The sequence below is a fragment of the Homo sapiens genome, chromosome 7 (assembly GCF_000001405.40).
Source record: "Homo sapiens chromosome 7, GRCh38.p14 Primary Assembly".
NCBI classification, from domain to species: Eukaryota; Metazoa; Chordata; class Mammalia; order Primates; family Hominidae; genus Homo; species Homo sapiens.
This window is the reverse complement of record NC_000007.14, coordinates 35,887,215-35,902,449: the sequence shown is the minus strand read 5'-3', so window position 1 is coordinate 35,902,449 and position 15,235 is coordinate 35,887,215. Positions and strand designations below refer to the sequence as shown.

The 15,235-nt window shown below is 34.2% G+C and overlaps 1 protein-coding gene across 11 annotated transcripts in view; it reads right to left on the bottom strand.

Annotated features, from left to right (window-relative positions):
• SEPTIN7 (septin 7) overlaps nucleotides 1–15,235 on the bottom strand; it is a 114,778-nt gene that overhangs the window by 13,314 nt on the left and 86,229 nt on the right. For 7 of the 11 annotated variants that reach the window (NM_001242956.1, XM_047421095.1, NM_001788.6 and 4 more), the window contains 2 exons: nucleotides 11,657–11,782; nucleotides 4,067–4,202 (listed from right to left, as the gene is read on the bottom strand). In NM_001242956.1, the coding sequence (NP_001229885.1) occupies nucleotides 4,067–4,202; nucleotides 11,657–11,782 (262 nt within the window). Of the gene's footprint in view, nucleotides 1–4,066; nucleotides 4,236–11,656; nucleotides 11,783–15,235 lie in introns of all 11 variants that reach the window. The other 4 variants (XM_011515661.3, XM_011515656.3, XM_006715806.4 and 1 more) reach the window with 1 other exon arrangement.

Here is a 15,235-nt window from a genome sequence, read left to right as displayed (position 1 = left end):
GAATTAGAATATCTGGGTGTTAAGTCTGGAAATGTGGATTTTCAACAAGTTACAGTGATTCTAATGCAGCTGGTCCTTCCTTCTCTGTGTATTAATACTGTAAAGAATGCTGACTGAGAGGCAGTAAACACTCATGCGAAGTAACTGCAGAAACAAAGTGCTTTAAGTCCAAGAGATCATTAGATAAGTAATTTCATTTAGGTGCAAGTCAATCCATTTCTGAAAAAAAAAAAAGTCAACAAATTTTAAAAATCAGATTAAATCCTTCTATGCCAAATACCCAAGGACTATTCAAAACCTTCAGTTATCCAGGAATTATGTTCTGTTACAGATTTTACTACACTGGTGAGTTAACATTAACATAATGTTAATATATAACTATTATATGTATTATATATTATATACATATTATATATGTTACTATAATTTTGCATACAATTTTTTTTTGCAAGCCCGAAGTGACTTCAGATTTATTCCTATTTCAATTATTTCATGCAATTCCTACAAAACAAAATCACCTAAGACACACTTAAGCAAACATGAATCAAATCTGAGGTGATATCTTCCTGATGACAGCAAACAAGTTACTAAGAAATGTCAGAAAGTAGGAACATAAGAAAATGTCTCTAGTTATTTTTTTTAAATGAAAAGAGTCACATATACACAATTCGGAATAGTAGTTACCTCTGGGAATGAGAGAGAGGGATACAATAGGGGACAGGCACACAGCATCTTCAAATGAGTTGATAACATTCTATTTTTTTAAGCCAGGTAGTAGGCTTACAGTGTTCATCATTCTTTAACTTGTTACATATAAGTAATTATCTTTTGTGTTAACTGCATGTAGATAAAGGTACAGGTCACAATCTCACTCTTAAGAAACCCATGGGGTCAGATGCCTTTTGAAGTTCAACATTTTTCAGTTATTAAAACGACAACACCGCTTAGAAAGGAGTATACACTATATTTATAAAATACCTCCTGGGCTATCTGGGGCAACAAGTATAATCAAACACATTACTTTTTATTTGTTTCAGTAAAATATATAAATATTCACAATATGTAGGATTAAAACTTAGTTCATGTTAGGTTTTGCAGTTTTCAGAGTTTTTTCCATTCTGAAATTGTGAAAAACAGGACTGTGGACCTATCTAGCTTAACTTAAAAATTAACTGGGTTCAAATGCTGGCATACTAAGTTAATTTATCCTTCTTATCTATAAAGGAGAGATGGGCAATAATATCTACCTTGTAGGGCTGTGGTGTGCACTAGACAACACAATAAATGAAAGTTGCTTGGTGCTGTGGCTGATGTACTGTGCTGCTAGCTGTGCCCCAAACAAGTATTTCCAGCATAATGGATTTAAGGAGAGACTGTATTAAACAAGGCTAAAAGGGTTTCTTTACCTATTTATGTATTCACACGTATATTTACACAATATATATCATGTATCATATACATGATGATTTGCAAACTCATTATCACAGGGATGTTGGTAAATACACTCTAGATGTGGTTTCATAAAAGACAAAGAATCTAGAATGAGCATGCCTAATTCTCTAATGGCTTAGAGTATCTGGTGGGAACCTTGGCCCAGAGCTCTTCACAGGTCCTTGAAATGTTAACATTCCATCCTTCAAAGAATAGTTCTTCAAAACTGTCTTCACCATTCACAGTAATCATTAAAATTCCCAAAGGGTTCCTTGGCTACAGGTTCACAATTACTTGTTCGTAATATTTACTTTTAGCAACATGTCCTAAAATACATCTGCCTCAAATATAAGTTAAACTACTTTTAGATTCTCAATGGAATCTAAGTGTGGAGATAATGTAGTAGACTCTTGATTATTCCTGTTTTTTTCCCCCTTTTGGATATAGATTTTCCAGATTATATGTGAATTACTGAAGAGGTAGAGACTCAATGCATATATTTACAACATGCTGATAAATTAATCTCCAAAATGTCATGTTAAGAACTTTAATTATTCATTTATAATACAACAGCAATAGCTAAGACAGTGACTTTTGATTAGGGGTGTGTGTGTATGCACATTTTGGTTTGCCCTATGATAGGAGGGCACTGCTATTAGCATTTAGTGGCAGTGCCAGGGATGCTAATCCTGTAGTGCTCAGCGTCTGAAACCAGGAGGAATTATTCCATACCCCTGCTAAATTAAACTCACAACAAATATAACAACAGTGAAAGATTTTAATAAGAAATTACAAGAAAAGCCCAATAATGTAAGAGAAATGATGTGGAATAAAAACATTTCCTCGAAATTATTTAATACTTTCTCATTCCGTGCATTCTATTTACTCAATGGATTAGCATACTTTTGTTATGCCTTTAGTCAAAAAAGGTTTCCATATTTTATGCGGTAATTACAAAAGCAATGAGATCAACTGTAAGAATATAACGAGAGATCTGAATCTCTTCTTCATACACTTAGATACAAATATTAGTGAAGCCACATAAAACAGGGATCTTACTAAATTTTATCATTAAAGATTGTTTTAAAACTATTTTATATTACTGTCATCCATATATATATATGTATATAATTTTGAGACAAGGTCTAGCTCTGTCACCCAGGCTGGGATGCAGTGGCACAATCATGGCTCACTACAGCCTCTATCTCCCAGGCTCAAGTAATCTTCCTGTCTCAGCCTCCTGAGTAGTTGGGACCATAGGTGCAGGCCATCATGCCCAACTATTTTTAAAAATTTTTTATAGGGATTGGGTCTTGCCATGTTGCCCAGGCTGGTCTCAAACTCCTGGACTCAAGCAATCCTTCTTCTTTGGCCTCCCAAACTGCTGGGATTACAGATGTGAGCCACCACACCTGGACCTCATCTCACATATTTTAAAATAATTTATTATTTTATAGGGCTTTTTGTTTGTCTGTTTGTTTTTTGAGGCAAAGTCTTGATCTGTCGCCCAGGCGGGAGTGCAGTGACGTGATCTCAGTTCAGTGCAACCTCCGCCTCCCAGGTTCAAGCGATTCTCCAGCCTCAGCCTCCCAAGTAGCTGGGATTACAGGCACTCACCACCACATCCAGCTAATTTTTGTATTTTTAATAGAGATGAGGTTTCACCATGTTGGCCAGGCTAGTCTCGAACTTCTGAACTCAAGTGATCTGTGTGCCTCAGCCTCCCAAAGTGCTGGCGTTACAGGCATGAGCCACCATGCCCAGGCTATTTTATAATTTTTAATTATAACAAATTTATGTGAAGAAAACTTCATACTGAAACCACTGTTATTTTGGGATTACCCATAGTTTTTTTTCTACTATTCTCAGACATCTATCAAACTAACTGCTCTATGGATTTTTAATGTTCAGTTTATCTTTTTCTCCAACTTTTCTTTCTTGCCACCTATTGAAGGAAATGTCTCCAAGGTCTTTTTGATTAATAGAAACTAAATGTATAACTCAACATCTAGAAGGGTTTCAAGATAGTAGGTATGTCTTCTGGGATGTTTTGTCATTACCCTGCCCAATGTTGTAACACCAGGAACTACCTTGACACTACATTATAAATAAAGAAGGCCTAACCTGTTAACAAAAATATCACATTCCCTAATTTTCTCTTCTTTAATTGTGTGGAATTTATCCAGGCATGTCTTTAGTTCAATAAAGGTTATTTCCCTCTTTTTCACTCATACACAAATAAATATGGTCAATTATTATTATCCTAACACAGTTTGTGTGCATAAATCCACCCCCAAACTCTCATCTTTAGTGTTCTTATGCCACCTGTATGGAATGGTTTGTAATTTTATTTTTCACAACTCAAACTTGTTCATTATAACTAATAATTCATTATAAGTATTCTATTACACTGTCCTACCTAATATACTACGTCCAAGCACTTGCATATTGAAGTATGTATTATTTTATTATAAACACGGTGCTTGCTTCTAGAAATTTATCCGTTTTGTTACACTAGGGTATTAATTTTGAAAAAATATGTATAAAAAGGTTATATTATCTATAAATTTTACTGAAGATACTACTTAAAAAGGAACACAATGTCTGCTAAGAGATGGGATATTAGACTGATTACCTCAGCTTCAGAGTCCTTCAGTTTTTGAACTTTTTCTTTGACCTTCATCTCAAACACCTGCTCCATCTCCATCTCCATCTTCTTCATTTTAGCTACATGCTCCCTTCTTTCTTCTTCCATTTGTGCCAGAGGGCTCCTGTCACGAATATTAAGGGTAATCATTAAATGTCTGTGAATAAAAATTATAATACAGAACTATGAAACAGCTGATGAAAACAAATCAGATGCTATATGTCACTATTAATATATTTATAACCTAGAACTTCTTTCCATATTTCATATATAAAACTTGATTATTTATGAAAAAAATCTAAAAAACAAAGATGTTCTCTAAACCTACTGCATATCAAACCTAAGGATGACATACCAAATAAACTGTAGAAGGAAAATGGGAAAAAAATTCCCAAAATACATTCACAGAATGAAACATTAGAAGAAAATAATTTAATTTTGTTCTTCAAACAACATTTTACCATGAAAAATAGAAAATGAGTAATGAAGTTAACATATGTAGAATATTTTTAGTTTTACCAGAATTTCAAGTGTTACAATCTCTTCCAAGACAGCTACTAACAACACAAAAATTATTATTTATTTTGGTAACTGAACTGATACGTTGGAAACAACTACTAGTCAATACCTAGAGCACTATTTAGGCATACAGAATATTTCTAGGCCCCTTATGATAACTTCAATGCTCTTGAAAATTCATTCTACTTAACTCAAATATTTCACTGTCTTAAGTTTTAAAGATGTTCAGTGATTTAAAACACACACACATACTTCAGAGATAATCAGAAGCAAATATTTTGTTAATAATTATTTTTAAATGCCAAAAAAATAGACATAAGCATAGTTAAATTAAAAAAAAAAATGTTCACTCTGTTGACGTTGAAGTCCATGGACTCAAATCTCTTTGTAGAATTGTGTTCAAAATTTTCACACTGAGATATATTTACAGGTGGGCTTTATGTTAAGGCTAATATACTTACACAGAGACACAAGAGAATGCCAAAGTACCTAGTGCTTTCAGCCCAGGAGCAGGAAGTGGGCTCTTTGCTTTGAGAATCTCTGAAAATTATTCAATACCCTGGGACAAACTAAAGAGATAGGTCCTTCTTTGGCTTTGTTAATAAAGCATGCTTGTTTTGCCTCCATAAAAACAGGCTTTGACCATTGATTGAGGTTTATATTTTAAATGGGTAAATTTTACTGTAATACGCTAATTTTTTTTAAAAAATTAACTCATGGCTTAAAAACGAAAACCAGACCTTGGATTTCACCCGTAACTTTAAGGCTAGTCATTTTAACCCTGATTTGACACACTCTTATTATGGTGACTTTTCTCCTTATTAGGCTAAATATTTCTGACCATCACAGCAATTTTCTTTTCTAACAGGGAAGCAGGCAAAAGAGCTAGATAGAAAATGTTAGAAACAAAACAAAAAGGACAGAATATTGGCTACCAGTTTTTCTTAACAAAAAGGCAAGAACAAAGATGTGATATAATGCTATGAATTAAGATGATCTGTTTTCGCAATTGCGTAAATTAGAATAAAATGTTGTTTAAATCAAGGATATTTCTTCACTAAAAGAAAACTTCTACATGCTAACCTGACATATATTTTTCCAATTAAACAATGAATCAAAAGTTCTGAAAATGAAACTAACCAGACATATTAACTTAGAACAAGAACCTGCATTTTAAAAGTGGAGTCAGCTGAAAAACATTTTCAAGTGTAAATATCATCTTTTTTTGTTAAAAGTTGAGATGCTTCTTAATAATATACTCCTCATATTAATGGCAGGTGTTTTTAATACAGTTGCCTCTGATCTCTTGAGCACACACAGTGTCAATGACTGCCCTGAAACAGCATACCAAATGTGTGTTTGTGTTTGCCAGGATTCTTCCGGTGAAAGGGTCCAAAGCTTTTGTTAGATTTTCAAAGAGTCTATAATTCCCACTGTCCCCTAACACCCCAAAAATCTTTTTTAGTCTCTAAAAAAGAAACAATCTAAAAACAATTTTGTGATTGCTAACCTTAAGTAACTGAATGTGTATTTAAGCAACTTCCAACAATTATGATTGTAAATATATTAAATTAGAAATCAGAGAGAAATATCTATTCCTACTTATACAACTCATCTATAAAATGTTTATCTTATCCTTGGGAAAGAGCAAGTATTTTTGCCACCTAAATTATTATTTAAATAACTCTAGGGGGGAAAATAAGAGACTGCGGATAAAACATGCAATGATGTTTCAAATCTTTTAAGCCGGGCACGGTGGTTCACACCTGTAATGCTAGCAGTTTGGGAGGCCAAGGCAGGCAGATCACAAAGTCACGAGTTTGAAACCAGCGTGGCCAACATGGTGAAACTCCATCTTTACTAAAAATACAAAAATTAGCCGGGCGTGGTGGCACACGCCTGTAATTCCAGCTACTTGGGAGGCTGAGACAGGAGAATTGCTTGAACCCAGGAGGCAGAGGTTGCAGTGAGCCAAGATCGTGCCACTGTACTCCAGCCTGGCTGACAGAGCAGGAGTCCATCTCGAAGAAAAAAATATCTTCATTTAAATTCAAAATTTAAGTATTTAAAATCCCCTGCCTTACATGCCTTCAACTGTATCATACCTAAAGGAAAAAAAATTAGTGATTTGGCACATTTAAAGTAAAGCATGCTAAAAGCTGCAATTAAAGGCAAATGCATAGCTTTCACAAATTATTAAGGTATGTGCCCTAAATAAAAAATTTACAGTAAAATTCGCTAAAGCTAATTTATTTCCCAAATTATGTTCATAATCATTACACTAAATCACTATAAAAATAAATATGCTGTGCAATTATCTTCTGAAAGTCTTGAAAGTTTTAAACCTGCAAATGTGTGTTTCTAAAAGAAATTTGCAATTATTTAACAGTTAAGATACTGTAAGTTTTTTAGTCTTGTAAAAATAATCTGACCAAATATACTCAAATACTGTGAAAAAATGTTCATGCATATTTAAAATGAATTATTGAAGTCTCTCACCAGTAAAAATGATCTTTCAAATTTTTAATTTTTATATTAACACCTCACTTCTAGTCATCTTTATTTTTAGAAAATCGAAACAAAAAATTGTGCTTATAATGTAGAAAATGTAGGGAGATCACTTTTTATCTTCACATTTACTATTTTTTTCCAAGTAAAACCTTTTATTAAATGGCTGGAAAAACCATTTAAGTTGTATTATTGCCTGCCTGCTTTTTAATAGGAAACTCTTACCCACCCCCATATAGTAGTAAAGCTTATAAACCTATCAGTGAAATTAAAAACCCAGACAAAGAAATGAAGAAAGCCTAGTAAAACAAGAAAAAGAAAATGATTACAACATAACCGGAATATGAAACTAAACCCCCAATGATTTAGCTCCTTCTAGGGTTGTCTTTATAAGGTTAAAATTCCTGCAAGCCACATCCCTTCATGTGACCAATAAGAGAATTATAGCCACCATGCCACATAAGGATGACCTAGTCAAGTTCTACTTTGCTGCATTACATATGACCCACATTTGGAGTATAATAAAAGACAATCATGTTTCATTTAAATTATGTGTGTGGTCTTTCCTAAAGAACAAATTAAGCAAGTAGATTTACATACTTTTGCTCCAGTGGTTAGTAGGTCACTATGTGCAAAATTTTCCAAAGGAATTTCACTTAAATAATTTCAAAGTTCAATAAAAATTTCTAAAAATTTTGAGTAATAATGGTTGCCAACATTTTGTTTTGCCATGTGAGAGTATTAAAACCAAACATAAACAAAACTTCCAACTACTATCATTATAATTTCATGAAAGGACACTTGAATAAAGAGTAAAAGATATAACTAAGTTTAATTTTTTGAAACAACTTGAAATTTTCAGCAAATTGTCTTTATTTCTATTTAGATCAATGAAAACTCTGTCATGTATCAAGAATTCTGAGAATCTGCCTTTGAAACTTGTATTTTTAGTCATTCACTTATAAAGTTTTCCCAAGATGACTGATGGAGAAGGCTATAGAGAACAGAAAAATAAATTAACATAAGGGAAAGAGAGACAAGGGTGTGCCCCAACTTGGAGCAAGGTATCTATTGTCACAATTGGTACCAATGATAGACATCAGTTCTGAAAAAGAGTCACCAATAAAATGTGATTTTAAGTAAAGGGTACAAGGAAGATCAAGGAAAAAGGAGGCAGACAAAACTTCAAGAAGGAAGTTTAGAAAAAAAAAAAAAAAAAGACGGCCCTCCTCTTATTGGGGATCACACTTCCTTTAAGAGATCAGCAATCTGCATATGACCAACTCTTCTCCCCTTTCCTTTACAAACCCTTGCTGAATTTTCTTTGATTTGAGAGGTTACCCTTTCTGTGGCTTTCAACCACCCATTACCCTCCATACAGGGATGCAAGAAGTACTTGGATGGCTCCATACTTTGTCAGAAACAGGTAATTACTGGATAGCTGCTAAGAACAGCATCCACTTCTCCAGATCTAACCTTGAGACAAATTATAGCTGACTGGACAAGTTCAGCTATTCTTCAGATTTAAACCACACAATCTATTTCTTGTTTTAAGTCCCTCTGAAATAGAATTGTTCTAGGGCTATTGACGTAACAGAAAGGCACATTTTCAGACATCTACACATGTATTTTTAATGTTTACTTCATGTTTCAATAGACTCTACAGTGTGCCCAAAACTACCTCAGAAAATTAAATATAAGATAAATTGATTCACAGTCATGCACTGCTTAACAACGGGGATACATTCTGAGAAATTCACTTGTCATCGGTTCAACAACATAGTGTACTTACACAACCTTAGATAGTATAACCTACTACACACTTAGGCTCTATGGTATAGACACACGATATTATGGGATCTTGTATATGCAGTCGGTCATTGACTGAAACATCATTATGTGGCACATGAATGTATTTTACTATTCAATGTCTAACATCTTTAAAAAGTTTAGCTTATATTCTAAAACCAAAGTGTGATTAGCACTTTGTGAAACATACATTGCCAAAGATCAATTTAACTATAAATTTTCAATAGGTTCACCTTCCATTCCAAAATTCTTGCAACTCTCAACCCCTCCCCACTACCACTGTCAAAGAATACGTTGCTATAGAGTCACATGAGAGCAATACAAAAAGAACATTAAAAGAAGCCTAAACTCACACCTACTTCACTTATTTAAACATTAGTCTTTCTTTTCAGTTATTCATGGATATGTACTGAGCTATGAGGAAAAGCACCTTACATCAGCTAAAGCACCATAAGTTGTTAATGACTTTTAAAGAAAAATTTAACAAAAATATTTTTTGAAATTGCTAACATTTTCAAGACAATGTCAGATACAACTAATAGATAAAACTTCTAAGCGATTTCTTTCAGGTTCAGTATGCGTTATTCAATGAAGTAGTAACAGTCTAATTCCTATTTATTATTAACATAAAATAAAATATTATGCTAGCTCCTGGGCCAATTTGCTTTTTAGCAATGCAAACATTTCTTTTTTTATTTGCATAGGCAAAGTATGGTCATGATTCCTCTCTTTAAGAGATATATTTCCAGTAGAATTCTACTAATTATGTTTTCACCTGGGATATAGTTTAACTCATGTATCCACACAGTAGAATTTTGTATATGCAGAAAGAAACTTAATGATACTGTAAAGTTTTCTATTTTTCCATGAATTATCTTACCTGCATCCAACAGCACTACTTTAAAAAGCCTTATATTTGAGACATGGGAACAAATAAATAATTCCTTTTATCTACAACTTAACAAATGTTTTAAAAAATATATTGAATAAGTACATATATTTAACAAAAAATATGTACTAGTACTTTAACATACAAAATTATCAGTAGCTTTGTGTATGCGTTTCTTTTAATGAGTTAAAAAGTGCATCGTTAATGATAAGTTTAAAGTGAATTAGGATTTTATGAACAATATTCACTATGATGGGTCCTTACATTTTTGTGCCAAAGTTACTCAATAAACATTTTGCTCAAAAGAGATAAAAAGCCTTCCTTTTGTTCACATATTGAGGCTTACCTCAAACAGAATCTTGTATTTTAAATATTTAAGAAGGGACATTTTTCTATTCCATTATAAGGCATGTTAACCACTATGGAAAATACTATAGCTATTTTGAGAACTTGTCTTTCGTATTTATATAGTTGATCCTTCAGGATTATCGTCTAATTGTAGATAACACCTAGCTACAAATGCACATTATTTAAAATGGTTTTGCAATATAGCTATGTACTGCATAATGACATTTCAGTAAACAAGGGATGGCATATATGATGGTGGCCCATAGATTCCTACTGCCCAGTGGCATCTTGATGATCTTGACCCTGAGTAGGCCTAGGCTAATGTGTAAGTTTATGTCTTTGTTTTTAACAACAACAAAAAAAGGTATAAATGAAAAAAGAAAGAACTTTTAAAATAGAAAAAAGCTTATAAAGATTATAAAGATAATATCTTTCTACATCTGTTCAATGTGTTTGTGTTTTAAGCTAAGTGTTACTACAAAAGAACCAAAAAGTTTTTTAAAATTTAAGTTATTATAAAATAAAGTTACAGCAAAGTAAGATTATTGAAGAGAAATTTAAAAAATAAATTTAGTATAGCCTAAGTGTACAGTGTTCATAAAGTCCACAGTAGTGTACAGTAATGTCCTAGGTCTTCACGTTCACTCACTGCACACTCACTGACTCATCCAGAGCAATCAATCTCCAGTCCTGCAAACTCCATTCAAACCAAGTGCCCTATACAGATATACCATTTTTAATCTTTTACACTGTATTTTTACTGCACCTTTTCTATGTTTAGATACACAAATACTTGACATTATGTTACAACTGTCTATAACATTCAGTACAGTAACATGCTGTATAGGTTTATAGCCTGCAAGGAATAGCTAGACCACATAACCTAGGTGTGTAGAAGGCTCTACCATCTAGGTTTGTGTAGATACTCTATGATGTTTACAAAATGACAAAATAGCCCAATGACACATTTCTCAGAAATGTATCCCCACTGTTAAGTGACATATGATGTAATTATGATTTTCAATAATGACAGATTTTTAAAAAGTAGGGCACAGACATGGTTACCAGCTTCCTCACACATCTCTTTTTTCGAACCCAACATGAAACCACCACAGCTTGAGATATAAGCTCAACAGGGCAAAGCTACACACTTGGTAGTCACTTACACCACTCTAACAACCAAAAGAAGAAAACGAAACTCCAGCTAATTTACTCCCTGGAATAGGAATAGAGAAGGTAACCAAGAACAAATTCATCTAAATATTCCTTTTGTTAAAGCCTGTCCTTTGTTTCCACATAATTTGTAAGTGAAAACTATCAAAATGGTTCATTCAAAAAAGCTTCTACTATTAACAAAGCATAACAATATAAATTTATGCTGCTGTGCATAAAGAACATTATCCAAATTTTCTACTGAGTAGCCAGAAGAAATTTAATGAAAATGAAACAATATGATTATTGACTACAGAAATAATACCTTTTTGGAGAAAAAAATATATACTTACTTAGTCAGCTGCCCTTTATTCTTGTTGTTATCAACTCCATTATAAGTCACAGCTGCAAGTTTTCTGCTTCTGTAGTTCTCATAGTGGACATTATTAGTAACATCTTTCAAGTCCTGCATGTGTGTTCTGTCATAAACAAACAGCAAGAGTTTGCTTCTATTAATAGCTAGGGGGAAAAAAGCTTAAAAAGTTTTAATATGAATTCAAAATTTTACCAAAACAAAAATTTCAGATTTAAAATGAACAAAAGACTATTGTTAAGGAAGGTGGCATTCATCTGTTTTCATTTACACTCAAAGTAAACCAACAAAAAATAAGCTAACTTGACACCAAATTTAGATTCCAGTGACATTTTAAGACCTATAAATCCCCAAAAACAGTTACTGAAGGATGACCTTTCTATGAAAGAGTATTCATCTTTATATTATCTATTTAAATACTAGACAACAGAGTGCAGATTGGCCACTACTGAAGCTCATAAAATCTAAAAGACACTGCCTTTTAGCAATATTACTAAGGTAATATATGAGTTTTTATTAATACATAATAATAAATTTCAGATCACATATCAAGTTGTTTTCAAACAAGGAAATTTTAGAGTAATTTTCTGTTTCTTCAAACTGTCTAGTGAAAGTGGTATTTCGGTTAAACAAATTTTTGCTTACAGCATTTCTATCATATATAAAATCAATATATATAAGTCTACAATACATATGAGATGATGTCATCATTATTTAATAATTCAAGACACTGAAGATATCCTTAGCTGCTCTATGGATATCCTTTACCAATGTAGTGTTCTTGGATATACATGGTGTGGCAATACCGTATTGTCAGTCCTCTCTCTTCTCATCATCCATTCTATCTCAAACTTCCTATATCTGCCATCATTCATCTTCACCACTTTACTAAAACTCCCTTCTGGGAGACAAACACAAAGGTGTATTGTTGGCTGGGCACGCTGGCTCACACCTGTAATCCCAACACTTTGAGAGGCCGGGGCGGGCAGATTGCCTGAGCTCAGGGGTTCGAGACCAGCCTGGCCAACATGGTGGAACCCCATCTCTACTAAAAATACAAAAATCAGTTGGGCGTGGTGGCAAGCACCTATAATCCCAGCTACTTGGGAGGCTGAGGCAGGAGAATCGCTTGAACCCAGGAAGTGGAGGTTGCAGTGAGCCAAGATCACGCATTGCACTCCATCCTGAGTACATGAGCAAGAGACCGTCTTAAAAAGAAAAAAAAAGTGTATTGTTGTACTGTTTTTATCATTCCTTACAACCAGAGAACCTTTACTGTTACTTCACAATCCAGCTTCTTGAATCTCCCCCTTTGGGAACAAAATGTGATATTCAATTACTCTGATTCATTTCGTACTGACATTTCCATGCAATTCTCTGATAGTTGACTCCCCTTAGTCCTAAGTCTGGTTTTTCCAAAAATCTCATCTCCCAGACTCTGTCCCTCAATAAATTCACGTTCTCTTATAGCCACAATAGTTACTTCTGAAGTTCTACCACTCCACTTCAGGCAAGTCAGGCAGCTCCCTACTCCTGGCATATCTGGCGGCTGACACTGAACAGTTCATGCTAATTTGTCAATCTCTCGTCAAAGACTTAATTGCTTTGGAAACCTTTTTCCCAGCCTTGACATCAAAGCATTCCAACCATGACCATTTCCTCCTTGGTTGTCATTCATTTTTGGTACAAGTATACGTCACAGGTGACATCATATCTCTTCAACTGTAAGATCCCCTTTACAAGGAACATGCCATTACCTTTTGCATCCCAATGCAGATAGCAGATGATAGGAATTTTAACAGAATTCATAACTCAAGATTGAAGCTGAGATATGATAAACACTTTTTGGAACCAGTTTCTCTAAGTGGAGAAAAATAACAAATACCTATGCCAATATAAAACAATGTTTATTTAATTTTTCTTTTCCGTTTTTTTTTTTTTTTTTTTTTTGATACAGGGTCTCGCTCTGTTGCCCAGGCTGGATGGAATGCAGTGGTACGATCTCAGCTCACTACAATCTCTGCCTTTCAGGCTCAAACCATCCTCCCACCTCAGCCTCCTGAGTAGCTGGGACTACAGGCATGCACCACCACGCCCGACTATTTCTTGTATTTTTAGTAGGGACGAGGTTTCACCATGTTGCCCAGGCCAGTCTTGAACTCCTGAGCTCAAGCAATTCTCCCACCTTCGCCTGCCAAAATGCTGGGATTACAGGTGTGAACCACTGCACCTGGCCTGATTTTATTTATTATATATTACATATCATCACTGCATCACTGAAAAATCGTTAAAGGTCCTAAGGAAGAAAACTTACATGAAATGTTTGCATGAATGTGTAAGATAAAAGTAAGGTGAATTTACTAATTGTTAAGTTATTTTTGTTAGTGTCATCTAATATTTTAGATAATGAATAATTTTTCTTTTCACTAAAATCACTAAAGTCTTCTATACGACTACATAATTCTGATTTTTTCAGGTTATGAAAGTCTTTATTTCCATTTAAATATACTTTATCATTTTATGATTCAACCCACTCCTCCATTCTCAAAATAATTTGTTAATTAGCAATAGTTTCCCCACAGTTTCAGGAATTTGTCTCTTCCATTTCCCATTGCTGATATCGTAACTCTTTCTGTTCTCCTTTTGTTTTCTTTCCCCATTTGATTTCTGAAACACCCATATCCACACCCTGAAAATATTTGTATAGTTTTCCTCCTTTCCATCGTCTTCCTTGGTTTGCCTGGAGTAAGTTAGTTCTCTTAATTAGCAAGAGAACTTCTTTGAACTTGCCTCTTTCTTAGAAGCAATCACTATTCCTTTGACCTGCAAGATTTCAATTATTTGGGATTTACAGACATCTGTAATATTGGTATTGGTATTTTATTTCCTTCCTTCAAGTATTTATTAAATATCCACTAGATGGCTTTGTCTTAAAGACATGAGCTAAATTAAATACACATCTTTTTAATAATAACTTTAGAATTTTTAGGCATAAAAGTCTTGCTGCTCTGCTGTATTAAATCTTCCTGCAGGCATGGTCAATTTGCTCTGTAATGCTTATACTAGGGAGGTCCCTCACTAGCCGCCAGGCTGTGAACCTTCGAATATTCAAAGTAGCCTCTGGGCTGGGTGGGTGTGGTGGCTCAAGCCCGTAATCCCAGCACTGTGGGAGGCTGAGGCAGGTGGTTTACTTGAGGTCAGGAGTTTGAGACCAGCCTGGCCAACACGGTGAAACCCTGTCTCTACTAAAAATACAAAAATTAGTCAGGTGTAGTGGTGCATGCCTATAATCCCAGCTACTCAGGAAGCTGAGGCAGGAGAATTACTTGAACCTGGGTGGAGGCTGCAGCGAGCCAAGATCGTGCCACTGCACTCCAGCCTGGGCAAGAAAGTGAGACTCCATCTCAACAAAGTAGCCTCTGGCTCAGTAACTAGCTTTCCCCTCTACAGTGTTTTAGGTATGTAGGAAATTATTGATTGTATACTTTTAAAATACACAAGAAAAAGTTATAGAATGCCATTGTGTCAAGCACTAGGCAAGTACCATAGAAGATTTAAA